General features: G+C 55.5%; 1 protein-coding gene, 1 long non-coding RNA gene and 1 other non-coding gene across 6 annotated transcripts in view, besides 14 other annotated features; all 3 read left to right on the top strand.

The window, feature by feature from the left end:
* Positions 1452-1961: an enhancer, noted in NCBI's record as "H3K27ac-H3K4me1 hESC enhancer chr1:12220881-12221390 (GRCh37/hg19 assembly coordinates)". NCBI's record gives its function as "activates a minimal SCP1, AML or CMV promoter by ChIP-STARR-seq in naive H9 embryonic stem cells {active_cell/tissue: H9 hESC(naive)}" and the evidence as "EXISTENCE:reporter gene assay evidence [ECO:0000049][PMID:30033119]".
* Positions 1962-2471: an enhancer, noted in NCBI's record as "H3K27ac-H3K4me1 hESC enhancer chr1:12221391-12221900 (GRCh37/hg19 assembly coordinates)". NCBI's record gives its function as "activates a minimal SCP1, AML or CMV promoter by ChIP-STARR-seq in naive H9 embryonic stem cells {active_cell/tissue: H9 hESC(naive)}" and the evidence as "EXISTENCE:reporter gene assay evidence [ECO:0000049][PMID:30033119]".
* Positions 2472-2981: an enhancer, noted in NCBI's record as "H3K27ac-H3K4me1 hESC enhancer chr1:12221901-12222410 (GRCh37/hg19 assembly coordinates)". NCBI's record gives its function as "activates a minimal SCP1, AML or CMV promoter by ChIP-STARR-seq in naive H9 embryonic stem cells {active_cell/tissue: H9 hESC(naive)}" and the evidence as "EXISTENCE:reporter gene assay evidence [ECO:0000049][PMID:30033119]".
* Positions 2490-2629: an enhancer, noted in NCBI's record as "active region_207". NCBI's record gives its function as "activates an Ori minimal core promoter by ATAC-STARR-seq in GM12878 lymphoblastoid cells {active_cell/tissue: GM12878}" and the evidence as "EXISTENCE:reporter gene assay evidence [ECO:0000049][PMID:35858748]".
* Positions 3140-3269: an enhancer, noted in NCBI's record as "active region_208". NCBI's record gives its function as "activates an Ori minimal core promoter by ATAC-STARR-seq in GM12878 lymphoblastoid cells {active_cell/tissue: GM12878}" and the evidence as "EXISTENCE:reporter gene assay evidence [ECO:0000049][PMID:35858748]".
* Positions 3699-3798: an enhancer, noted in NCBI's record as "active region_209". NCBI's record gives its function as "activates an Ori minimal core promoter by ATAC-STARR-seq in GM12878 lymphoblastoid cells {active_cell/tissue: GM12878}" and the evidence as "EXISTENCE:reporter gene assay evidence [ECO:0000049][PMID:35858748]".
* Positions 4139-4238: an enhancer, noted in NCBI's record as "active region_210". NCBI's record gives its function as "activates an Ori minimal core promoter by ATAC-STARR-seq in GM12878 lymphoblastoid cells {active_cell/tissue: GM12878}" and the evidence as "EXISTENCE:reporter gene assay evidence [ECO:0000049][PMID:35858748]".
* Positions 7455-7764: a silencer, noted in NCBI's record as "silent region_284". NCBI's record gives its function as "represses an Ori minimal core promoter by ATAC-STARR-seq in GM12878 lymphoblastoid cells {active_cell/tissue: GM12878}" and the evidence as "EXISTENCE:reporter gene assay evidence [ECO:0000049][PMID:35858748]".
* Positions 7571-7666, top strand: MIR7846 (microRNA 7846). Its single transcript, NR_107000.1, has one exon. It is a non-coding gene; the product is annotated as a microRNA 7846 (primary transcript).
* The window catches only part of TNFRSF1B (TNF receptor superfamily member 1B), a 42230-nt gene continuing 27446 nt past the window's right edge, over positions 7619-22402 (top strand). For all 4 annotated transcript variants that reach the window (XM_011542060.3, XM_047429422.1, XM_011542063.3 and 1 more), the window contains exon 1: positions 7619-7797. In XM_011542060.3, coding sequence (XP_011540362.1) covers positions 7720-7797 — 78 coding nt within the window. In that variant the 5' untranslated portion in view covers positions 7619-7719. The remainder of the gene's footprint in view (positions 7798-22402) is intronic.
* Positions 7775-8004: a silencer, noted in NCBI's record as "silent region_285". NCBI's record gives its function as "represses an Ori minimal core promoter by ATAC-STARR-seq in GM12878 lymphoblastoid cells {active_cell/tissue: GM12878}" and the evidence as "EXISTENCE:reporter gene assay evidence [ECO:0000049][PMID:35858748]".
* Positions 8045-8686: an enhancer, noted in NCBI's record as "H3K27ac-H3K4me1 hESC enhancer chr1:12227474-12228115 (GRCh37/hg19 assembly coordinates)". NCBI's record gives its function as "activates a minimal SCP1, AML or CMV promoter by ChIP-STARR-seq in naive H9 embryonic stem cells {active_cell/tissue: H9 hESC(naive)}" and the evidence as "EXISTENCE:reporter gene assay evidence [ECO:0000049][PMID:30033119]".
* Positions 15500-15794: a silencer, noted in NCBI's record as "tiled region #6671; K562 Repressive non-DNase unmatched - State 5:Enh". NCBI's record gives its function as "represses a minimal TATA promoter and a strong SV40 promoter by Sharpr-MPRA in K562 cells {active_cell/tissue: K562}" and the evidence as "EXISTENCE:reporter gene assay evidence [ECO:0000049][PMID:27701403]".
* Positions 15500-16075: a biological region, named in NCBI's record as "Sharpr-MPRA regulatory region 6671".
* Positions 15734-16075: a silencer, noted in NCBI's record as "fragment chr1:12235163-12235504 (GRCh37/hg19 assembly coordinates)". NCBI's record gives its function as "represses an EF-1alpha promoter that drives an FKBP-Casp9 reporter gene in an ReSE screen in K562 erythroleukemia cells {active_cell/tissue: K562}" and the evidence as "EXISTENCE:reporter gene assay evidence [ECO:0000049][PMID:32094911]".
* Positions 16807-20937, top strand: LOC124903844 (uncharacterized). Its single transcript, XR_007065466.1, has 2 exons — positions 16807-18778; positions 20581-20937. It is a non-coding gene; the product is annotated as an uncharacterized LOC124903844 (long non-coding RNA).
* Positions 19528-20495: an enhancer, noted in NCBI's record as "H3K4me1 hESC enhancer chr1:12238957-12239924 (GRCh37/hg19 assembly coordinates)". NCBI's record gives its function as "activates a minimal SCP1, AML or CMV promoter by ChIP-STARR-seq in primed H9 embryonic stem cells {active_cell/tissue: H9 hESC(primed)}" and the evidence as "EXISTENCE:reporter gene assay evidence [ECO:0000049][PMID:30033119]".

Below are 22402 nucleotides of genomic sequence, written 5' to 3' on the forward strand. Positions count from 1 at the left end.
AAAATTAGCCAGGCGTGGTGGCACATGCCTGTAATCCCAGCTACTCAGGAGGCTGAGGCAGGAGAATGGCTTGAACCTGGCAGGCGGAGGTTGCAGTGAGCCAAGATCGCGCCATTGCTCTCCAGCCTGGGCAATAGAGAGAGACTCCGTCTCAAAAAAAAAAAAAAAAAAATTGTCCAGGCATGGTGACACATGCCTGTAATCTCAGCTACTTGGGAGGCTGAGGCATGAGAATCACTTGAACCCAGGAGGCAGAGGTTGCAGTGAGCTGAGATCACACCACTGCACTCCAGCCTGGGCAACAGAGCGGGACTCCATCTCAAAAAAAAAAAAAAATTTATGTATATATATACACACACATTTTATATATATATATTTGATATCTGTGCAGCTTCTTAGCTGCTGGGGACCCAGCAGAGAGCAAAACAAAACAGACAAGTTCCCTGCCTTCATGGGAGAAACAGATGATAAACAGATCCAAAGAGAAATTATAACAACTGCTATTAAGAAAAGTAAAGTAGCTATTTTGGTTGGGGGCGGGGGGGCGGGGGCGGGGTGCCAGGGATGCCTCTCTGAGGATGTGGCATTTGAGCAGAGACTGATAAGGGGAAGTGAGTCATGCAGGTATCTGGAGGAAAGGTGATCCAGGCAGAGGGAACTGCCAGTGCGAAGGCCTCAAGGTGGGAGAATGCTTTGTGTGTTCCAGCAAGGGCGGCCGGGCCAGCGGGCTCAGGGAGGAGTGAGGGCAACCCTGGCTGTTACCACTGGTCAGTTCTGGGTAGTGGAATATGGATTTTTTATATGATGCTTTAATTTTTTTAATTTCTAAAAAAAAAAATCTAAACAAAGATAATGTAGGGTTAAAAAGGTTACTGCTGGGAGGCTGGGTGTAGTGGGGCCTGTAATCCCAGCACTTTTGGAGGCCTAGGTGGGTGGATCACTTGAGCTCAGAAGTTTGAGACTGGCCTGGGCAACATAGTGAAACCCTTCTCTACTATTAAAAATAATAAGATAAAGTGTAACTAGAAGAAAACTTAAAAAAAAAAAAAAAGGCTGGGCATGGTGGCTCATGCCTGTAATTCCAGCACTTTGGGAGGCTACTGAAGTGGGTGGATCACTTTTGAGCTCAGGAGTTTGAGACCAGCCTGGCCAACATGGCGAAACCCCGTCTCTGCTAAAGAAAATGCAAAAAATTAGCCAGGCATGGTGGTGGGCACCTGTAATCCCAGCTACTTGGGAGGCTGAGGCAGGAGAATCGCTTGAAGCTGGGGGAGGCGGAGGTTGCAGTGAGCCAAGATCAAGCCATTTCACTCCAGCCTGGGCGACAGATCGAAACTCTGTCTCAACAACAACAACAAAAAAGGCTGGGCATGGTGGCTAACACCTATAATCCTAGTACTTTGGAAGGCAGAAGTGGGAGGATCATTTGAGCCTAGGAATTCGAAAACAGCCTGGGTAACATGGCGAAAACCCGTCTCTACAAAAAATACATTAGCCAGGCATGGTGGCATGCACCTGTGGTCCCACCTACTCAGGAGGCTGAGGTGGGAAGATCACTTGAGACCAGGAGGTTGAGGCTGCAGCGAGCTGTGATTGCGCCACTGCACTCCAACCTGGGTGGCAGAGTGAGACCCTGTCTCAAAAAAAAAAAATGTTACTGCTGTGTGTAAAATACAGCAGTGTGCTTTGCAGTAGGATGAAAAGGAGAATTTCCTGTCAGGAAAAGGCTCTGCATAAAGGGCAAACTGTGCACCCCTCTACCTGGGCAATCATTCCCACAGGTCAGGCAAGACCTGCCTTGTGCCGATAAAGGCAGGGGTTTGGAGTCAAGCCTAGCCCTGCTGTGCCCCACCGCACACATCTGGTGCACCCACCCCACACATCTGCACCCCACTCCACACAACTTCAGGACAAGAGGGGCACTTGGTCTAATCCAGAGATGGCAAAGGCCAGGTGTTTGTGCTGAGGCCAACCCCTTCCCGCCCAGGGCACACCGGGCTGCTCCATCCTGCATCCTTTCCTGCAGAGCCCAGGCTCAGAGTCCTTCTCAACACAGAGCCCTAGGCAGCCATCACCAAGTGGAGCTGCATATGGGGGGAAACCAGCCTGCTTCCCCTGAAATCCAACTCCTCATGTCACACATGAGGATGCTGAAGCCCAGAGAGGGGTAGGCACTAGCCCAAGGTCACACAGGAAGGGGGCTAGAATGGGGATTCCTGAGACTTAGCTAGTCCCACTTGCTGGGTTTAGAAACCAAGGGTCTTCTCCAGAAGGTCTGGGACTGATTCTGGCGTTGAGTCCTGGGAAGAGGCCACTCAGAACAGGGAGGTTTTAGTGAAGCAAGGGGAGAAGGAGGCCTGGAGGCTCTCTTGGCTTCCTTCCCCAAATTGCCTGTGGTCCTCTTTGAGTACTGGGAGAGAGGGGGTGCTGCACCCCCAGGCCCTCCTCTTCTTTGGAAGGAGATGGGGACAAGAGCTGGTGTTTCTCGGTGCCCCCAGCCCACAGCATGGTATGGCCAGCTCAGCCCAAGATGTGGCCCCAGGGAAGGGAGGAGGACCGGTAGGAGGGCCAGATGAAGCAGGCAGTTGTAGAGCTGTGGCTAACACCAAATGCTGCTTCCTGTTCGTGATTTTAGGACATGAGTCATCAAGGGGCTGGCCCGGCACATTCAGGGCGCTGAGATAAGCAGGACTGAGGGACAAGAAAAGGTTACTTGCCCTGGCTGTGGGCCAGCCTTAAGCAGGGAAGGAGTAGGGTTCCCGCTGTCCAAGCAACCCTGTAAGATAGATTCCCACTGGGACCCTGAGGCCAGGTCAGAAGGAGTTGGCTTTGTGGCTGGCTCTGAAAGCTCACTCCAAAAAGAATATTGCATGGAGACCTCCCCATGGTGGAAAGAGCCCCTCCCAGCACAACCACAGCTCAGCCTTCCAAACTGCCCTCAGCCACACACAGCACCTGCTGCACCTCAACCCTCTGTACGGTTTCTCAGCAGGTGCCCCTCAGTCACTGAGGAGTCCATTAAAAAGCCAGATATTAGGCCCTCAACAGACATGGGCGTGGGGCCCAGGACTCTGCATGTTTCACAAGCCTTCCAGATGATTCTTATGCTGGTTGAAGCTGGAAAGCCACTCCTCCAAAAGATCCACTAGAATGCCCGGTACACAGTAGGTGTTCAATAACTGTCAGTGGACAGACCGGCTGTCCTCGCACACGTGGCCTGCCCGTGGCCCTGCCTTCTTCCACCCTCGCTTGCAGGAGTGCAGTCATCCACCTACTGGGGTGGGAGATGTCAGGGGACCTCTGAGGGCTGTAGACTGAGCTGGGAAGTGAGGAGAGGCTCCAGGGAGTGTCTGGCCAAGAGCTCAGATTCTGCACATGCAGCCCCTGAGTTGAGGACCTGAGGGCCACAGTTCCATCTCTGCTTGAAGACTGTGTTGTCAACAAGGAGCAAATGGGGACTTTTCTGCGCTGTGGGGCTGGGAGTCTACCAGATGCATGGCTTGGGAGTCTGGGTTGGGTATACAGGGCCTAGGAGTGATTGGGCTGGACTGGGTTCCTGAGCCTTGACCCGGACATCCATGTACCCATTCATTCATTCATTCATTCATTCTCTCAAGTCTTCATCCCTTCATCGCCTCCTGCGTACCCTTCATCCTGTATTTGGTCCTTATTCACTTCAACTTTATCAAGCCCCCCGTTAGGTATCTCCTGGGCCAGAACATACAGGAGATGCACAAGAAGGGACTCAATCAAGGGAAATAGAGGGAACCAAGAGCAAGTCCCCCTACCCTCGGGTATCACACAGTTCAGCAGTGTGAGAGCTCCATGCTGAGAAGAGCCCCTTGGCTATGGAGAGGCCACCAAACCAGGTTTGAACCCGCTGTACCCCGTATTAGCTGGATAAGCATACCATAAAGCTTGCCCCCCACCTGGTGCAAGATAAAGTGTGTAAGTCATCTTTCCATAACCGCTAGTATCACAATTACTAAGAGAGGCGAGGGCCGTGTAAGCAACTAATACCGGAGTAAGTGTTATGCTAATAGTCTGTAGACGTACCATGTTATCCTGCCCAGCTTGCTGGGGTGTGGTCAAGGGTGGTTTCACAGGAGAGCACGAGTGGAGCTGTGACTGGAAGGACAAGTAGGTGATCACCAAACAAACAAAGAGGAAAACACACCTCAGGCAGAGGAACCTGCATGGACAAAAGCATGGAGGTGGGAACTCAGGGTTGCTCCGAATGCCCAGGGAGTTGGCCTGTAGAGCTGGGGTTCGTGGTGGGGCTCTGCCTGGTGGGCCAGCTGGGCCAGGACATGAAGGCCTCCAGTGTCTTGTGGAGGAGGCTGAAATCAGTTCTAAAGGCCATGGAGAGCCATGGGCTAGGTTGCTTCTCAACCTTGGCGTTCTGGACGTTTTGGGCTGGATAATTCTCTGTGGATGAGGCTGTCCTGAGCGTTGTGGGATGTTTGGCAGAATCCTGGCCTCTACCTGTGAGATGCCAGCAGCACCTCTCCCTGCCCCCTGCAGCTGCGACCACCCAAAATGTCTCCAGACATTGCCAAATGTGCTGGGGAGGGAGAGGGGGTAAAATGACCTCTGGGTTGAGAAATCCTGGGCTAGGAGAGTGGCATGAGTGGCTAATGCTTTGCAGGGCTGGGCCTGACCACTCCACGGAAAGGCAGATTCGGGGACAGAGCCTGAAGGCCAGAGCCTCATCGGGAGGCCCAGAGCATCATGGGTGGGAGATAGAGCCAGGGCTGGGCTGTGGGGCAGAAGGAGAGAGTCCAGGCCCTCCACACTGCCTCTGCTGTCCCTGAGTTTTACCATATTCCCCAGTGGCAGGTACAATATGGTGAGTGTCAAGATCAATCCCCCCCCCACCCACACTGAAGAAAAAGTCCCGGACCACGTGTGCAGGTCATGTGGAGAGACAAACTGGTTCAGCCAGAACTGGCCATCGCCACCTCCAGCCTAAATAAGATGTGGGGTTGGAGAAGCCAAGAGAGAGGATTTTGGGGAAGGAGTCACCATTGGGCTGAGTGCCCCCTGCTGCCCTTTGGAGCGGAGAGGGCACTTCCTCTTACCTTGGGCCAAGCAGGAGGGGATACGAGGGAGCCATCTGGGGGCTTCATATCCCAGGAGTTTAAGGACCATAACACAGGTGGAAGATTCTTGTCTATTTTGTCCACTGCTGAGTCCCCAGCACTCCAGGGCTGGCACACAGTAGGTGCTTAATAAAGGAGCCTGTGGCTGGATGGACCTGAGCCAGCATTGCTGGAGTGAGCCAGGGTGCACGGAGAGTTAGCTGGGCTGCTATTGGTGCGCAGCAAAGGGCAGGCAACCATGGACCCCAGCGAGGAGGCCAGCCTGACCATCTCCATCCCAAAGTGCTTCCTAGTAGGTAAGGCGGCCTCAGCAGGAGAAGCCAGGAGGACACCATCCTGTAGGAGCTGAAGGGGAGGTGGTGAATTGTGGCCAGCAGGAGGTGCAGGCATTTCAGGTGCTGGGGAGCTGTGGCCAGTGGAGTCAGTAAGAAGGTCTCCAAGAAACCTGCACTAGAGCCCCAGAGAGAATGAGCTGGAAACTGTCCCCAAAGTCCCCAGTGCCAGATGGGTGACAACTTTGGCTGCCATGGAACACTGTGCCCTTTCCTTCCCAAACCCTCACCCCTGGGCCTGACCCTGGAGTCAAGAACTGCACTTGGCAGAGTTCAGAGAGAAGTCGCCTGCTCTCAAGCCTGGGTCGGCCTGGAGAAGGGGAGAAGCCCCATGTTGCATAGAGATTAAGCTTGAATTCGTTCCCAGGATGGGACCTAAGCCTGGGAGGATCCCCACCTTCAGGAGGTGATGGTGCCATTCACTGGGATAGGGAAACTGGCAGGAGGAGCCGGTTGTTGAGGGTTGGGGGTGCAGACAGTCTGTTGGTCCCATTGGTCTTGAGGTGTGTGGGGGACAACTAGAGAGAACTATTGTCCCCTGCTTCCACGAGGTGACATCTCCCTCCTGCCTTCAGCTCTATTTTAGGGATCAAGGAGTCCTTGGAGCTGCTCCTAGGCATTCTCATAAGGGCCAGAAGAGCTCTGCATGTCTGTCCAGCGGCTCTGCAGAGTTAAGGCTGTGGGTCATACCAGCCACACCCTCAGCGTGGTCCATGTCACAGAAACATGTGGAAACCAGGTGATTTCCCAGCCTCCTGGTCAGGAGGTGGGGTTTTCCATCCCCAGGGAGTCACTTCCCAGTTTCTCACTCAGCACTCAGCACCTAGAAGCACCATCCTTGCAGGCTCCACTGTGGGGCTGGTGGCCGGGAGCAAGGGTCTCTGTACCTCTTCAGGCAGCCTGCAGTGAGGAAACAGGGAACAGAATAGCCTCCTGCCACCCAGCCCACCCCAACCCTTAGAAATGCCCTATGTGCTGGGGGCTAGGACCCCCGTAATCCAGGGCTGGAGGAATGTGCTCTGGCCCCGCAGGGCTGGCCCTGTATTAGGGCTGGCACTCAAAGTGGGGATGGGGGGACAGATTGCAGCTGGAATGGGTGCTCGGTCATGATGTAAATCCTGGGGAAGCCAGCTCTCCTGGGCCTGGTCTCAGCAGCCCCTCAGGGCCCTGCAGCTTCCCTGGTGACATTCTCTCCCAGCCTCTGTTCATCTGCCCCCTGCCTGGGCAGGAGACTTGAGCAGGGAAGTGCAGAGTCTTCTCCCTGTGAGAAGGCTGGATGCGTGTTTAAGGATAAATGAACACGCGAAGAGTAGTAACAACAGCCAAGATTTATAAATGCCTATTGTTATATATGTAGATACTTACTTAAGTATATATAAAGTACAGACTGCATTATGTATATTACATATCTTTAAATTTTTAGAATAGTCCTATGAGGTCAGTTCAGAGATCCAGACCCAGGTGGTCTGGCTCTAGAGTCTAAACAGGCCGAGTGCAGTGGCTCACACCTATAATCCCAGCACCTTGGGAGGCCAGAGGCGGGAAGATCACTTGAGGGTGGGAAGAACACGTGAGCTCAGGAGTTCGAGACCAGCCTGGACAACATGGCGAAACCCCATCTCTATAAAGAAATCAGCCTAGCATGGTGGCCCGAGCCTGTAGTCCCAGCTACTCGGGAGGCTGAGGTGGGAGGATCGCTTGAGCGCAGGAGTTGGAGGCTGCAGTGAGCTATGGGTGAAAGAGTGAGACCTTGTCTCAAAAAAAATTAAAAAATAAGAATTAAATATATTTAAAATAGAGTCTAAATAAGTGAATGATCTAGAATTCTCTTGGTTCCCCTAAAGCAGCTGTCAGCTTTGGGGGATGTTTTTCCAAATTAGTGCCTCACCCTCACGGGACAGGGAAGCCTGTGGGAGCTGGGAGGGCAGGTGGAGGCCGGGCAGGTGGAGGCCGGGCAGGTGGAGATGGTGATTCGAAGAGGAGGGGACGATAGGAGGAGGTTGAGGGGTCACCCGAGTGCTGGGAGTGACGCTGGAGGTATCGGCCCAGCGATGCTGGAGTGGTCGGGTCGGAGGCCCAGCAGCGTCTGGGGAGGGGCGTGGGGGAGGCGTGTCCAAGGCCGGCTGGCCCCGCCCCGCCCCGCCGCCTGGCCTCTGGCCCGCTGGGGCGCGGGCTTTCGCTTTCAGTCGAGGGCTAGCGAGCGCAGCGGAGCCTGGAGAGAAGGCGCTGGGCTGCGAGGGCGCGAGGGCGCGAGGGCAGGGGGCAACCGGACCCCGCCCGCACCCATGGCGCCCGTCGCCGTCTGGGCCGCGCTGGCCGTCGGACTGGAGCTCTGGGCTGCGGCGCACGCCTTGCCCGCCCAGGTGGGTGACTCGCGCGGCCCACGGGGGACAGCCGCCCCGCATGTCCACCCGGCTGGTGCGCAGCCTTCGGGTGCCCGGGCCGCGCTCTCCCGGGGCGCTGTCACGGGCTGGGAGGCTGGGAGTCCCAGTCGCCGCCCCCCATCCGCATCAGACACGCGCGCCTCTGGGGACCCGCTGGGGACTCCGGGCCCGGCACACGTGCGCTCGGGGCACAACTCTGGCCCCCGAAGCCCCTCTTACCCGCGTCGTGACAGGGGCGCACCCTGGTTCCTCCGCGAGCGCAGGCCGGGGCATTTGGGGCTGAGCAGCGGGTCCTGGGCAGACCCCCGCTAGACCCGGGACCCCTCTTCCCTCACCCCGGCGACTGCCGCGACAGCCCTTCCCTCCCACGCGGTGGAGAAGGGGCTGTGCCGGGGCGCTGCCCCACTGCCCACGCCGGGCACCCTCTTCAAAAGACTTCCTTTTCCTCTGGGCGACGGTTTTCCGATTTCTTAGAAATACCAGGGTCCTGTGTCTGAAGAGCAGGACCAGGTGTGTGTCAGGTCCACTGAGGGCACAGCTGGAGGGCGAGCTGCCTGTCTGCTTCCTCCGATGCGTCCGGGGGCTACTGCAGAGTCTGTTTTCTGCGGCCTCTGGGGACAGGGCAAGCGAGGGAGGTCTGGGCTGGTAATCGAGCAAGGCAAATGAAGTCTCCGGGGGCCGCAGGAAAATGGAGACAGCAGAAACCCTAGGGCTCCTATTCAATATGAACGTCACTCCCACAGTAGCAACGGGCGTACAAGGGACTGTGCACCCTTTGCCTGTTTTTGACTGTCTCCTGGTCTGGTAACATAGGATAACCCCATTTTTGTTTTACTGTCTCCATGGTTTGGTAAGATAAGATAAACCATTTTTTAGAGAAGGAAAACTGAGGCTCAGAGAACTTGTATTTCATGGAAGGGTCTGGGGGGAACTCTTCCTCCAAAGGGGGCCTCTCCTGCCTTCGGCCCCTGTGCCCTGAGGCTGCGGGGAAGGTGGGCGTTCATCCTTCCTCAGAGCCGCCCCTGATGGACACATGGCCCATCTGCCCCCATCTGACATCTTGACCGAGGAGGAAGGTGGGAGGTGGCACTGGCTTCTGTGGTGACATAAGGTGACTTGTTGATCTGAGGCCAGAGAGTCCAGTTCTTGTGGGTGGAAGATGGGGGCTGTCAGACTAGAATTGACTCACCGACAGTGGGTGTCAGGAGTGGGTCCTGGAGAACTGCCCCAGAGTAAGTCCTGGGTGGCCTTTGGGTCAGGAGAGTCCCCACTCTAGGGCCGAGTGTGAATGGGGACGACCGTGGTCCCCAGCTTGACTTTGGGGTCATGCCATATACTCTGGCCTCAGAGGGGGTCTTCCTGCCGCTGAGCTTGGGCCTGCCTGGGTGAACTCTGGGGTCATGTGAGCCCCTGGATGGGAGAGGGGTGTCAGGCACAGGGCTCAGCAGGACACCAGGCTGCAGTCCTGGAGTAGCTGGAGGAGGTTCCCTCCCACTTCCTTCCCTTCCTGACCAGCTCCTGCGGCAGCTCATATTCCCTCCTCCCTCATCCCTGCTCCCCACGACCCCACCCGGACTATTGCCGCAGCCTTGTAGCTGGTCTCCCGGCCCTGCCCCCTCTCCCGCTGATCCTTGGCAGAGAGACCCTTCTCAAGCATGAGGCACCTCTCTGTTTGCCTGGGGAGCCTCCTGTGGCTCCCAATGGTTGAGGCAGAAACTCCCCTGGAGATCCCAGGCCAGAGTAAGGTACCTGAACTCTTCCTCGCGCCTCCCTGCACATGTGCTCCCCCGCCTCTGTAGAACTGATGATGGTCATCGTGTGTGTCATTGTGCAAAAAGCATTGTCCGTGCCATCCCCTCTCCAAGGGACACTTCTTACCCCTATCCTTCAAGGCCTTCTGCAAATGCCATTCTCTCCAGGAAAGCCTTTCCGCATTCTCAGTTGGATTTGATCTTCTCTTCGAACTCCCAGGCCCTTTTGTTCCCTTTGAGGACAGATTGCATTCTGCTTTTTAATCTAGCTGTGTTTTATCCCCCTCAGTGGATGGAAGGTGTCTTCAGGGCCAGAACTGTGGGTTCCTCTTCCTTCTCATCAGTAGCATCGCCATAGCTCCTGATTTCTGAACACCCACTAAACACCAGGCACTGGGCTAGGTACTTTGTCACAAAATTTCACTGAAACCTCCCTTACAGCAACTCCCAAGAGGTGGGTGGTGCCGTTTGTCTTTAGAGATGTGGAAACTGAGGCGTTTCCCAGGATCACAGAGCTGGGGGCCGGGGAGCTGGGGGTGGGATTTGAATGCAGGTCTGCCTGATTCCCAAGCTCCTTTCACTGCACCCTCCCCGTGCCCGTATCTGCACTCATGCTCCCAGCCAGGCCCTCACACACAGTGGGTTCTCAGGATGGAAGTCAACTGAGCTGCAGAAGAAGCCCCCAGGAGACCTGAGCTAGCCATGGACGCAGCCGACTCACTGCCAGCAGGGCTTTTGCCCCGTTTAAAAGTCTTATTTGCCAGCTGGTATGGAAAACATCATTCATTCATTTAGCCATTTATTCATTTGACAAAGAAATGCCAGTAAACCTGGCAGTAGGTGAGTGCTTGGTGCCCTCTGATGGGGATGAGCAGGGTCTGGGCTGTCTGGGGAGGAGGATGAGGGGTCTCTGCCTGATGGGCCTGGCCCACCTACCCCTGGAAGTCTTGGTGCTGAGGTGCCACTATTTGCCTCCTCATCACCCAGGGCCTGGGGCCAGTTTGGGTTAGGGGAGAGGTTGGGGGCTCCCAGGCTGGATGTCAAAGAGGAGTTGGGTGATCTGGGGTACCTGCTGGCCCTGGGGGCTCTTCCCTCCTTCCACCACGTCTCTGTCTCTTTGCCCTCTGTCTGAAATCCCAGTGGGGACCCTGTGTGTTGACTGAGGGTGTGGTCTGTTGGTCAGGCACGTCTTCAGAGGGCAATGGGTAGGTGGCCAGGCACCCTGAGGCAGGGCCATTCATTCATTCATTCATTCCCCAAAGTTCATGGACACACCTAGTCCAAGCCCAGCCCAGTGCCTGGCTCTGGGGACCTCAAGATGACTCCAGCTCCAATCCTCTAGGAGCTACACTACCAATAGGTCACAGACCTCACAGACCTGGGCTCTGTCCCAACTGCCCTTATGAGCTTAGCTGAGCTAGTAAGCCTATGTTCTCATCTGTGGTTGTGGAAAGTATTCCCTGCCTGGCCTTTGTCACAGAGCCATGGGTGTGAAAGGCTGAGAACCTGCCGGGCATTCTTACGTCAGAGGTGACCCTGCCATCCTGGCACCTGGCACAGTGGCTCCCCGTAGCACTGTCCCTCCCCACGGCTGGGTGACGCTTTATGGTCCTTACTATGCAATGTTTTCTGGAGGAGTAGCAGGGACGGTTGTGCGTGGGAAGGGGAAGAGTTTTGCCGGAGCCATGGCATGTATGTTACACCCGACTCTACACCAACTCACTTCTTACTTTTTTTCTGAGATGGAGTCTTGCTCTGTTGCTCAGGCTGGAGTGCAGTGGCGACATCTCTGCTCACTGCAGTCTCCATCTGCCTCTTGGGTTCAAACGATTCTCCTGCCTCAGCCTCCAGAGTAGCTGGGACTACAGGCATGCACCACCATGCCCAACTAATTTTTTTTTTTTTTGTATTTTTAGTAGAGTCGGGGTTTCACCATATTGCCCAGGATGGTCTTGGACCCCTGACCTCAAGTGATCCTCCCGCCTCAGCCTCCCAAAGTGCTGGGATTACAAGCATGTGCCACTGTGCCTGGCCCGTTCTCACTTCTTCTTCTTTTTTTCTATTTAATTTTTTTTTATTGAGATAGAGTCTTACTCTGTCACCCAGGCTGGAGTGCAGTGGCCCAATCTCTGCTCACTGCAACCTCCACCTCCTGGGTTCAAGCAATTTTCCCACCTCAGCCTCCCAAGTAGCTGGGATTACAGGTGTGTGCCACCATGCCCGGCTAATTTTTCCTTTTTTTTTTTTTTTTTAGTAGAGACCGGGTTTTGCCATGTTGGCCAGGCTGGTCTCGAACTCCTGAACTCAAGTGATCCACCTGCCTCGGCCTCCCGAAGTGCTGGGATTATAGGCGTGAGCCACCCCACCCAGCCCCATTCTCACTTTTAAGCCATGCTTTTCTGTCCTCAGATGTGCTGCACACACACCTGCTCCAGGGCCTTTGCACTTGCTTTCCCCATCACCTCCAATACTCCTCCTGCTGACGTCTCTTGGTCTCCTTCCCTCGCTTCCTTCTGCTGAAGTAGACAATCCTGCCTGTAGGTGCTCCCTGCCAGGCACTCTCACTCCCTGACCTGCTTTGTATTCCTGTATAATGCTCTTGACCTATTCTATTTATTTCACTTTTATTATGTCTTCCCACAAGATTGTAAGTACCGTGAGGACAGGGACTCATTCACCACTGTAGACTCTAGCCTAGAAGAGGGTTTTTCAGTCAGTGCCTCTGACTTTAATTCTTTGTTGTGGGGCTGTCCCGTGAGCTGTAGGATGTTTAGCGACATCCCTGGCCTCTACTTATTGGATGGCAGTAGCGCCACCCTCCCTCGTGACAAAAATATCTCCAGATATTGCTAAGTGTCCTTTGGGGTTGGGGGATTGCCCCTGATTGAGAACCACTGGCCTAGGACAGTGCCTGGCACATAGTAAGTGTTCAAAAAATATTCATCTGACCTTGACCTTGATAATGGCCCTGTTTTACAGATGAGACGGGGGTTTGAAAAGTCAGTGGTGGCAGGGTGGGGTTCTGTTTGCCTCCATCTCTTGGGGTATTTTTCTGGGCTCCTCTTCCCATTGAGTGGTGTCTGCTGAGGTTAGGGGTCCTCTCCCCAAATTGCTCACCCCCTCGACATCCCTCGTGTAGTGAGGGATGGGGCCACTCACTGACGGTGACTCAGGGCCCCAGAATGCATGTGATTTACCCAGAAGCGGGCAAGGAGGGAAGCTGGGGTTTGGGGTGCCGGGGATGAACAGGAACAAAGGAGAGGCGCTGTGGCTCCCCGTTCTGGACCCTCGTCTGGCCACAGGGAAGCAGCACTGATGACTCTGGGGAAAGGCCCCGGCCTCTGAATCAGATAAACCTCAAGTCGCTGCTCTGCTGTTTTACTGGCTGTGTGACCTGGGCAAGTCTTTCTATCCCTCGGAGCCTCTGTGTTCTTATCTGTAAAATGGGAGTAATCCTAGCCTCACGGGCTGGCTGTCAGGATTAAAAGTGCTTTCTAATCCTGGCATTGGCAGCTATTTGAGCCATTGGTGGCTTTGCAGGTCTGACCCGACTCTCTGGGCCATGGGGTGGTGCTCGGGCCTAGGTGGGGACCCCTGTGGAGTCAGACTGTCTGCTCTGAGCCCCAGGGCCCTGAAGCTTGGGTGGCAGCCCTGCAGTTGCCCAGAGTTCCTGTCTAAGTGGCTTTGTTGCCCATCATCTCAGAAAGCAACTTCTTTCCTCCCTGCCTTTTCCTGTCTGTGCTTCTGCCCCAGTGCCCCCTGGCTGGGCTCTCAAACCCACTGCTTGACAGCCTGGTCTTAGGACACTGTATTGTGGCAAAGGCTGTGGGGTCAGGATATCCCCTCCCCTCCCTTTGCCACCCCTTTTAGTGAGTAACAGGTGCTGTGTGTTTTGGGGATGAGTGAAGGGTACATTTGGTGAAGCACAGAGAGAGTGCACAAGGCTTCAGTTTGCAAGATGGGCACGGGAAGATTCCAGGCCATCTCCAAAACCTCTTCCATCTCCAACCTCTGTGCTGCTGAAGGTTCTGTTTACTTGTGACCCTGAGAAGGGGATGCCCTATGGGGGCTCTTCTGAGATCATGCTGTCCATTTTCCTGCCTCCAAGTGACTTCTAAGACAGCATGGCTCTGAGGAAGGAGCACTGACTTGGGTGTTGGGAGATCACAGTTCCCATCTGAGCACCGTCACTGGCTTGCTGTGCTACCTTGCTTGGGTTACTTAACCTCTCTGGGCCTAAGCATCCCTATCTATGAAACCTAACAACCCTGGTTCCAATGCTTTCCTAGAATATTGGGGAAGTGTCGGCTTTGAGTATACTTGACAAAGGCCACAGATTGGGGGTGGGGTATATAAAAGTCTACAGGAAGGAGAGCCCAGGACTCCCCACTGTCAATATCTTGGTTCCCCAGCTTCTCTTCTTCTTGCTGACCTCAATCTCACTTGCTTTGGGTGGATTGATTTCCTGACTCAGGCTCCAGGGCCATCAAGAATTCACGGCTGCCTTTCAGCCTTCATGAAGGACATGGTGGAGCTCCTTAGGCAGAACTGGGGTTTGTGGATGTCCTGCCTCTCTGCCCCTTGGTACCTAGGTGGCACCTTTTCAAGTTCGGGAGCTAGATCCTTTCCCCTTCCCCACACTGTAGGAAAGTCCTTACTGTAGGCAGGCGCTGCAGAGCCTGCTGTCTGGGAACCCACAGGTTCAAGGAAGCCTTGAGCAGGAAGGGCGTTTTCCTGGAAGAAGCCCTTTGTCGCTGGTAATGGGTGCAGGCTGCTCTGACCCGGTTCTGAGTCCTGCCCCCTTCCAGGCCTAGGGCTTTGGGCCTTGATCACCTCTGCTGAGTAGCTGACTGCGGGGCTGGGGCTCTGATGCTCAGGACCCACCTCTCTGGGACCCACAGTCTTTTTCCACTGTGGCGTGTAGTGATGTCACAGGTGGCAGTGATGTCACTGTGGTTTGAGGTACTTGGCTGTGAGCCCCGGAGGAGGAAGTGTCTGTTCGCTGATGGGGGGTTGGAAGAGATCATTGACTTCTGCCCCAAGCGTGAGCCCCAAGTGTGCAGGGGGGAGTGCGGGGGGAGGGCTGTTGGCGGCGCATCCCAGGGCTCTGGCTCTGCCCTTGCATCTAGCCTGTCTTTCCTGTGGGCTGTGACAAGCCACTCTGCATCTCTGAGACTCCATTTCTTCTTCTTCTTCTTCTTCTTCTTCTTCTTCTTCTTCTTCTCCTTCTCCTTCTCCTTCTCCTTCTCCTTCTCCTTCTCCTTCTCCTTCTCCTTCTCCTTCTCCTTCTCCTTCTCCTTCTCCTTCTCCTTCTCCTTCTTCTTCTGATGGAGTCTGACTCCGTTGCCCAGGCTGGAGTGCAGTGGCGTGATCTTGGCTCACTGCAACCTCTGCCTCCCAGGTTCAAGCTATTCTCCAGCCTCAACCTTCCAAGTAACTGGGATTACAGGCATGCACCACCACACCCGGCTAGTTTTTGTATTTTTAGTAGAGATGGGGTTTCACCATGTTGGCCAGGCTGGTCTCGAACTCCTGACCTCAAGTGATCTGCCCGCCTTGGCCTCCCAAAGTGCTGGAATTACAGGCGTGAGCCACTGCGCCCAGCTTCCATTTCTTCTTTGAAAAGTAGGAGGGGTTGGAATTGTCACCCTGGAGGTTCATGGTTGCTAGATTATTGATTCTGTTGCTGGATTCAGGAGACCTGTTAGCTGGCTAGTTCACAGCAAGTATTGGGTGTTTGGAGGGGGGCTGCAGAGCCCCTTCTCAGGCCCCAGGAGGGCCAGCTGCCCTCCCTACCCCCTCTTTTGGACACTAGTGGGCATGTTCTGCTGGGAAAACAGACAGTGTAACCTGACTTCGAGGGCTGCAGGCTGAATCTCTTTCAGATGTACTGGCTCCTTGAGAGGCCTAGCAGATCTCTACTCTGTGGGTCCCTTTCGGAGCTGGGGCTCAGGTTTGACCCAGCCACTCTGACCGGAGACAGCGCAGAAATCACCAGGAGCATTTGTTTGTTTTCCTTTGCTGTCCAGACAGTGGCCCACCGTCTGCTTCAGTCTGAGCGTGGCCCTGCACTAGTGAGACTGATGTGGCCACAGGTTCAGAGAATCAGTGCGCCTGAGTGGGAGAGCAGAGCGGGAGGGGATTTGGAGGCAGGCGGGCTGTGGACAGGGAGGGGGGAGGACATCTTCCGAGCTGTCAGCGGGAGGCCTTCTTGAAGGTCTTTCAGGAGCAAGGCCAGAGGCCGTGGGAGTGGGCGGGGCCTGGGGCTGGGAGTCAGGGGTCTGAGGCCTCATCTTGGCCCGGCCTCTGCTTCCGGGAGAACTTGGCCAATTCCCTTCTCCTTTCTGAACCTTGGTGGCCCCAGCTGTCACTTGAGATTAGCAAGGACCTCCCTGGTCCCAGCAGGAGTGAGTGGCTTTGGGCAGGGGGTGGAGTGCAGATTGCACTGCCACGTCACCCAGCTCAGAAGGCCCAGGTGTGGTCCAGCTGTGGACTTGATTGTGAACTCCTGGGGAAGGGCTCTGGTCCTTTGCCTCAGTTAGCGGGACCCCCACCAGTGCCCTGGGTGCCCCTGCTGGCCCCTCCTCTCGCTGACCCCAGCCCCAGTTTCTGGCTGCAACTCACAGAGGCCCCAGGCTCCTGTGGCCCCATCACCAGCAGCTCCTGCTGTCATTTCCTGAGCCTCGCAAGCCCCTAATCCTGCTCCTTCCTGTCCTGGCCCCCAGCTCCCTCAAGCCCCACTCCTGCATCCCATTCTCCCTGGACATCACCCCTCCCACCCCTTGGCTCAATTTCCTTCCTGTCGTGGCTTGGTCCTTTGGTCATTGCCCTGGTCTTTTCTTGTCCCCTTCCTGATTCTGCCCTTCTCCAGGCCCACACGGGGAACCTCCTAACCGCTGAGCCCTGAAAGGTAGGCGGGTTTAGGATGAGTGGCTACAGGGAGGAGAATGGTGTGGGGAGAGAGATATGGAGGAAAGAATATTAGGGGACAGGCCGGGCACGGTGGCTCACGCCTGTAATCCCAGCACTTTGGGAGGCCAAGGCGGGCGGATCACTTGAGGTCAGGAGTTGGAGACCACCCTGGCCAACATGGTGAAACCCTGTCTCTACTGAAAAAAAAAAAAAAAATTAGCCAGGCGTGGTGGTGTGCACCTGTAGTCCCAGCTACTTGGGAGGCTGAGGTATGAGAATCACTTGAACCCCAGAGGCGGAGGTTGCCGTGAGCTGAGATCGCACCATTGCACTCCAGTCTGGGTGACAGAACGAGACCCTGTCTCAAAAAAGCAAAACAAAACAAAACAAAAACCGAATATTAGAGGACAATGTTAGGACTGTCCCAGCTGTCCTAGCTGGAGCCAAAGGTTTGTTGGGGACAGTGACAGCAGCACACGAGGCTGTAAGTTTAGGGCCAGTTTATGGAGGAGTAGTACCAATTACATTGAGAAAACTGTAGCAACTATAATTTGGGAGGAATTTTCTAAATACTTTACATGTGTTATTTAATCTTCCCATCAGCCCCAGGAGGTATGTGCATTTATCAGTCCCATTCTACAGATGAAAAGACTGAGGTCTATGAACTCCTTTATTTAAAAACAAAACAAAACCCCCTCAAGGCTGCCTGCTAAGAGGGGAGGAGTGTGGATTCAAGCCAGCATCCTTATTCCAGTGTCCATGCTCTCAGCCACCACACACACACTCCTATCAGGAGTTGGGGCAGTGGGGAGCCATTATAGTTTTTGAGCAAGAGAGTGACAGGGCAAAGATCACTGTGGCCTCAGTGTGAAGCACAGATGAGATGGAGAGACTGGAGGCAGGGAGGCCCATGAGGAGGCTGTCAACATGGTTCAGGTGACAGCTCTGGGTTGGTGAAGAAGCAGAGAACAGGAAGGAAGGGGCGAGAGGCTTGAGGGAGGAGGAGGAAGCCTTTGGACTGGGCCGTGGATATAGGGTGGGAACATAGGAGGTGAGGAGCATGCTCTCTCCACCTGCTTTTTGCAACATGCGGCCTCTCTGGCCTTAGCTCTGCCTGTCCTGAGCCCTGAGCCCTGAGCCCAATGGACCGATTCTGTTTTTTTTTTGAGATGGAGTCTTGCTCTTGTTGCCTAGGCTGGAGTGCAGTGGTGTGATCTTGGCTCACTGCAACCTCTGCCTTCTGAGTTCAAGCGATTCTCCCACCTCAGCCTCCCAAGTAGCTGGGACTACAGGCGTGCCCCACCACGCCTGGCTAATTTTTTGTATTTTTTTTAGTAGAGATGGTGTTTCGCCATGTTGGCCCGGCTGGTCTTGAACTCCTGACCTCAGGTGATCCACCTGCCTTGGCCTCCCAGAGTGCTGGGATTACAGGCGGGAGCCACCGTGCCCGGCCCCAGTGGACTGATTCTGGTCAGTGTCAACCCCATTTGTCCCTGGAGCTTTTGCAGTCGGTCACAGGGCCAGCCCGGTCCTGGTCACCGCTGGCTGGTTACCCCGGCTGGGTTGGGCAGGAGTCTGGGCAGGGCTGGTTGCTCATCTCAGGTATGAAATTGGCTGCACCCCCACTAGTGTGGGGGAGCAGGATTCCAGGGCCTGCCTGGCGCTGCTACCCCTGTGCCTCCAGACCCCTCGAGCTCCTCCCAGACCTTTGGCTTCGTTGACTGTGAGGTGAAAACAAAAGGGCTGCTCTCTGTCACTTCCCCTAGGGGCGGGCAGATGCTGGCAGGGCACAGAGAGCCGAGGGCTAAGAGCTGACATTTAGCCTGGCTACTCAGGAGACTGAGGCAGGAGAATCGCTTGAACCTGGGAGGCGGAGTTTGCAGTGAACCGAGATCGCGCCATTGCACTCCAGCCTGGGTGACAGGGTGAGATTCTGTCTCCAAAAAAAAAAAAAAAAGAAGAGCTGACATTTAGCGGGTGCTTCTTGGGTGCAATGCGCAAGAGACCGATGCATTAACTACACAGAGTGCCCTTCCTTGTCACAGCTACCTGGGGGCAGGGGAACATCATCCCCATTTTACAGAAGAGGCCTTTGAAGCACAGAGATTAACTGACGTACTTAGGGTTTTGCAGCTCACTAGAGGCAGAGCCAAGACTCCACCCCAGGTGGCCAGGCTCCTGAGCGCTATGCCTACCTCACCCTCCAATGAGGTGGTGGTGGAGGAGACCGTGAGCCGCTGTCACCTGAACACTGGTGCACTCAGTCTGCTGCTCTGAGGACGCCGCCCCCTCTCTTTGTAAGTCCATTTCCTGCCCATTTCTCATGCTAGCTCCAGCTCATTTCAACTAATTGAAAATTAAAACTTTGCTTCTGTTGAGCAATTCGGCATCGATGAGACGCCAGCTGTGGGCTGTGTGCTGGCTGTGTGTAGGGTGATGAGTAGCAGAAGCACGGGTGACACTGAGCTCTTTCCACTGCCGGGCACGGTGCCAAGCACGCCACGTATACTGACTTCATGAATCATAAAGCCCTGTGAAGGGGGCACTGTTTCTGTCGCCATTTTATAGATGATAAAGTGGAGGTGGGGGAATGGCAGAACTGGGATCAAAGCCCACGTGTCTGTGTCTGGCTCAGCGCCCATACAAGGGTGTCAAGGTTGCGGGGAGGCACGAGGGAACCAATAATTAACCAAAACTGGTCGGGTGTGGGCAGTATAGAGATGCACCCGGGTTGTCACAGGAGCCCCTAGGAGGGACCTCTGACCTCCCTGAAATGATGGCAGAGGGAACTCTTGAAAGAAGCTGAGAAGTCAGCACTGCCAGGTCGGGGGTGGCGGGTCAGGACGTTTGGGCAGAGGCAGCAGCAGTACGGGCATGGAGAAGGGGGCGGAGGAGCCAGGTGCTGCTTTGTGTTGTGACAGCAACAGGTGAGTGATGAATACAGGTGGGAGATGCTGGCAGGGGCTAAGGAGGTTGCGCAGGTGGTGGCAGCCGCTGGAAGCTTTTAAGGAGAGTCAGGCTTGATTGTAGGAAGGGGGCTTAGGTCCATCTGAAAGGGACAGAAGGCTGGGAACCAAGACCAAGGAGCCTGCAGCTGGCAGGAGATGCTGAGGGCAGCGAGGAGGAGGGGTCGTGGGAGATGGAGCAGGCGACATCAGCAGGCCCCTTGGAGGGTGACGGTGGGAGAGGCTGGGGCGTCTCTCATTAGACTCAGGGTTCCTTGCAGGCAGGGACCATGCCCGGCGTCTTTGTACCCTGGCATTTAGCACAAAGCCTGGCTCCAAGAACCGGATACCAGCCCAGTCTTCCTGTCTGCCCCCAGCTCATTTCTAAAGCAACATCACAGGCAGCGAGTCGGGAGTGGGATGTGTCACCCCCGGGTTGCCTGCCTGTGATGTGGTCAGTCCTTCCTAACGCAGATGCCATTCCTCTCCGTGACGGCAGACGGGCCTCCGCTGTCACTGGCCCTGGCGTTGCTGTGACGACCTGGCCTGATGTAGCTGCACCCTGCAGTCCATGGGGCTCCTGTGAACCCCCAAGGTTGAGACCCAAATGCCTCTGCTGCCTCCCACCACGCCCTAGGGGCCCCGCGACCCGCCATGCAAATGACGTGGTTTCCGCATTGCTTGAAGAGGGTTTCCTCTGTGTGGGGGTCCCTGGGTCCTTGGGCAGATACCTCTGCCCCTCCCCACAGCTTTGGCCCCTGCCCTAAGACCCTGGAGACCCTTTTGCCTGGGAGAGTCACTGAACCACCTGCCCCTGCTCACAGTGTGTTCACAGAAGAGTCACTCCCCTCTGTGGGCTCCTTGTCTGTAAAATGAGGGAGCAGGACAAGATCACAGGGTACAAAACTGTCAGAGGGCACAGAGGCTGATGTTGCTGCCATCAGCTCCTGGAGTGCCGCTCACTGGCTGCATGACCTTGGACAATTTGCACGAAATCTCCCAAGCCTCAATGTCTGCATCTGTAAAATGGATCATCCTGACCTCATTGCGTTAGTGCTAGGATAAAATAAAGAGAAGGTATATGAACGTGCCCAGCACTGTGCCTGCACACAGTAGGTACTTTTCCTGGATCTGAACAGTCTCTGTTCTTCCAGCTCTGTGTAAAGGCTTGATCTCGACCCCTAAAGCCTGAAGCTTCTCCCTGTGGCCACCTCCCCACCGCATCATCTTCCGTTCTCAGCGGGTAGATCCCTGCCCAGGGGGGACCCCCTGGGGAAGGCTGGGAGCATGACCTCTTCCCAAGGGTACGGCATCTAAAAGGGATCTCCGGAACATTGAAAAGCCATGAAGGCCGGGCACAGCGGCTCACGCCTGTAATCCCAGCACTTTGGGAGGCTGAGGGAGGAGGATCGCTTAAGGCCAGGAGTTCAAGACCAGTCTGGACAACATAGCAAGACCCGGTCTCTTTCTATAAATGAAAAAATAATAATAAAGCCATGAAGATCCCCAAAGAAGGCTGTGCTAATGGCGGCCGGAAGAGCAGAGGGCACCACAGATGCCGTGCTTTCAGCTTTTTCCTTCTCCTCCAGGCCTCCCTTCTTTCCTTCCTCTCTCGCTATTTATAAATAAGAGAAGGCATTGAGGGCCCCCACCTCGGGTACTTGCAGGGCCTTGGCCTGGGAACAGGACAAGCAGCAAGTCAGTTGACCCGGGGTTGCTCAATTCCCCAAGAGCTGACGCAAACTCCAGAATCAGACCTGCCCTGGCCACCTGGCCCTGCCCCTTACCAGCTAAGGGCTCCAGCAGAGTCCTAGTCTTGAGCGAATCTTATACCTGCAGCCCTGTCCACCAGCTGTGCTTCCTGAGTCCTCCAGGGTGAGGGGGCGTGGGGTCAGAAGAGAGGGGACGGTGTGCAGGGAGGGTGGAACCTGACTGACCGGGTCAGCCTTACTCTTCCAGCGGGGTCTTTTCTTCCTGGAGCTCGGCCCTCGGCAGCTCTCAGAAGCTCACCTTCTTGCAGGCTCTCACAGCCGCATCGTCCTCTGGCTGGGCTGCTCACAGACCCCGGCCCCTGGGTTTTGTCCACTCACCCAGACTCTGTTTTGGGGTCACATTACCCTTCCAGTGTTCCTCTGAGCAAAGTCCCTGTGAGTTAGCCCAAGGTCCCTGTCAAGGAGGACCACATCTGGCCTGTTGCACTCTTCTCCTTTGCCCCACCGAAGCCTCTGTCACACTGTCACAGCAGCGGGCCTGCCATGGTCTCCCCATGTAAGGCTTCCTGAGGAACGGGCCTGGTGCCAGCCTGGGGGTGAACTGCCAGCCCCAGGAGTCACAGGTCAGCTTCCCCACACTTACCCTGGAGGCAGGATGGAGGCCCCCTCCTTTGCAAGGCCCACACGGGCCATCTAACACCCCACTAAAGCCGGGCAGTTCGCTGCCCTGGGGTGTGTTCTCGCCTTGCCAGTTCTTGGCTAAAACCAAGGCAGGAAGAGCCCAGTTCCCATGTTCTGTAACATGGGTCTATGACCAGGGCCTTTGCAGGCCCCTTGCAGCGCCCCCATGGAGCCCCCAGGAGTCTGGGAGAAGATGATGAACCCAAGTGAGGACCTCCCCAGGGGCCTTTGCTCCTCACAAGAACCCCTGGAGGAGACAGGGCAAGGAGTACCACTCCCATTTTACAGGTGACAATGCCGAGGCTCAGAGAAAGTCCATGACACCCCCAAATCCCCCGGACCCACTACCCTGACCTCCTGGCGGTGCACAGAGCATGCCACGCACCTCTCCATATGCACATAGACCCTCTAACCTAAGTCAGCGCCCCTTCTACAAGGCCGGTGTCCAGCACACCTGGGAAAGGGGACATTTCTGGCCCTTTCCTCTCAGAAGTCGCCTGCTCGAGCTGCCCTCCCTGGGGGGAAGGGGATGGGGGCAGAAGCTGAGCATGGAAGCCCCTGCTAATCCACCCTCTGCTCTCTC

This window comes from Homo sapiens, chromosome 1, assembly GCF_000001405.40.
Source record: "Homo sapiens chromosome 1, GRCh38.p14 Primary Assembly".
Taxonomy (NCBI): Eukaryota; Metazoa; Chordata; class Mammalia; order Primates; family Hominidae; genus Homo; species Homo sapiens.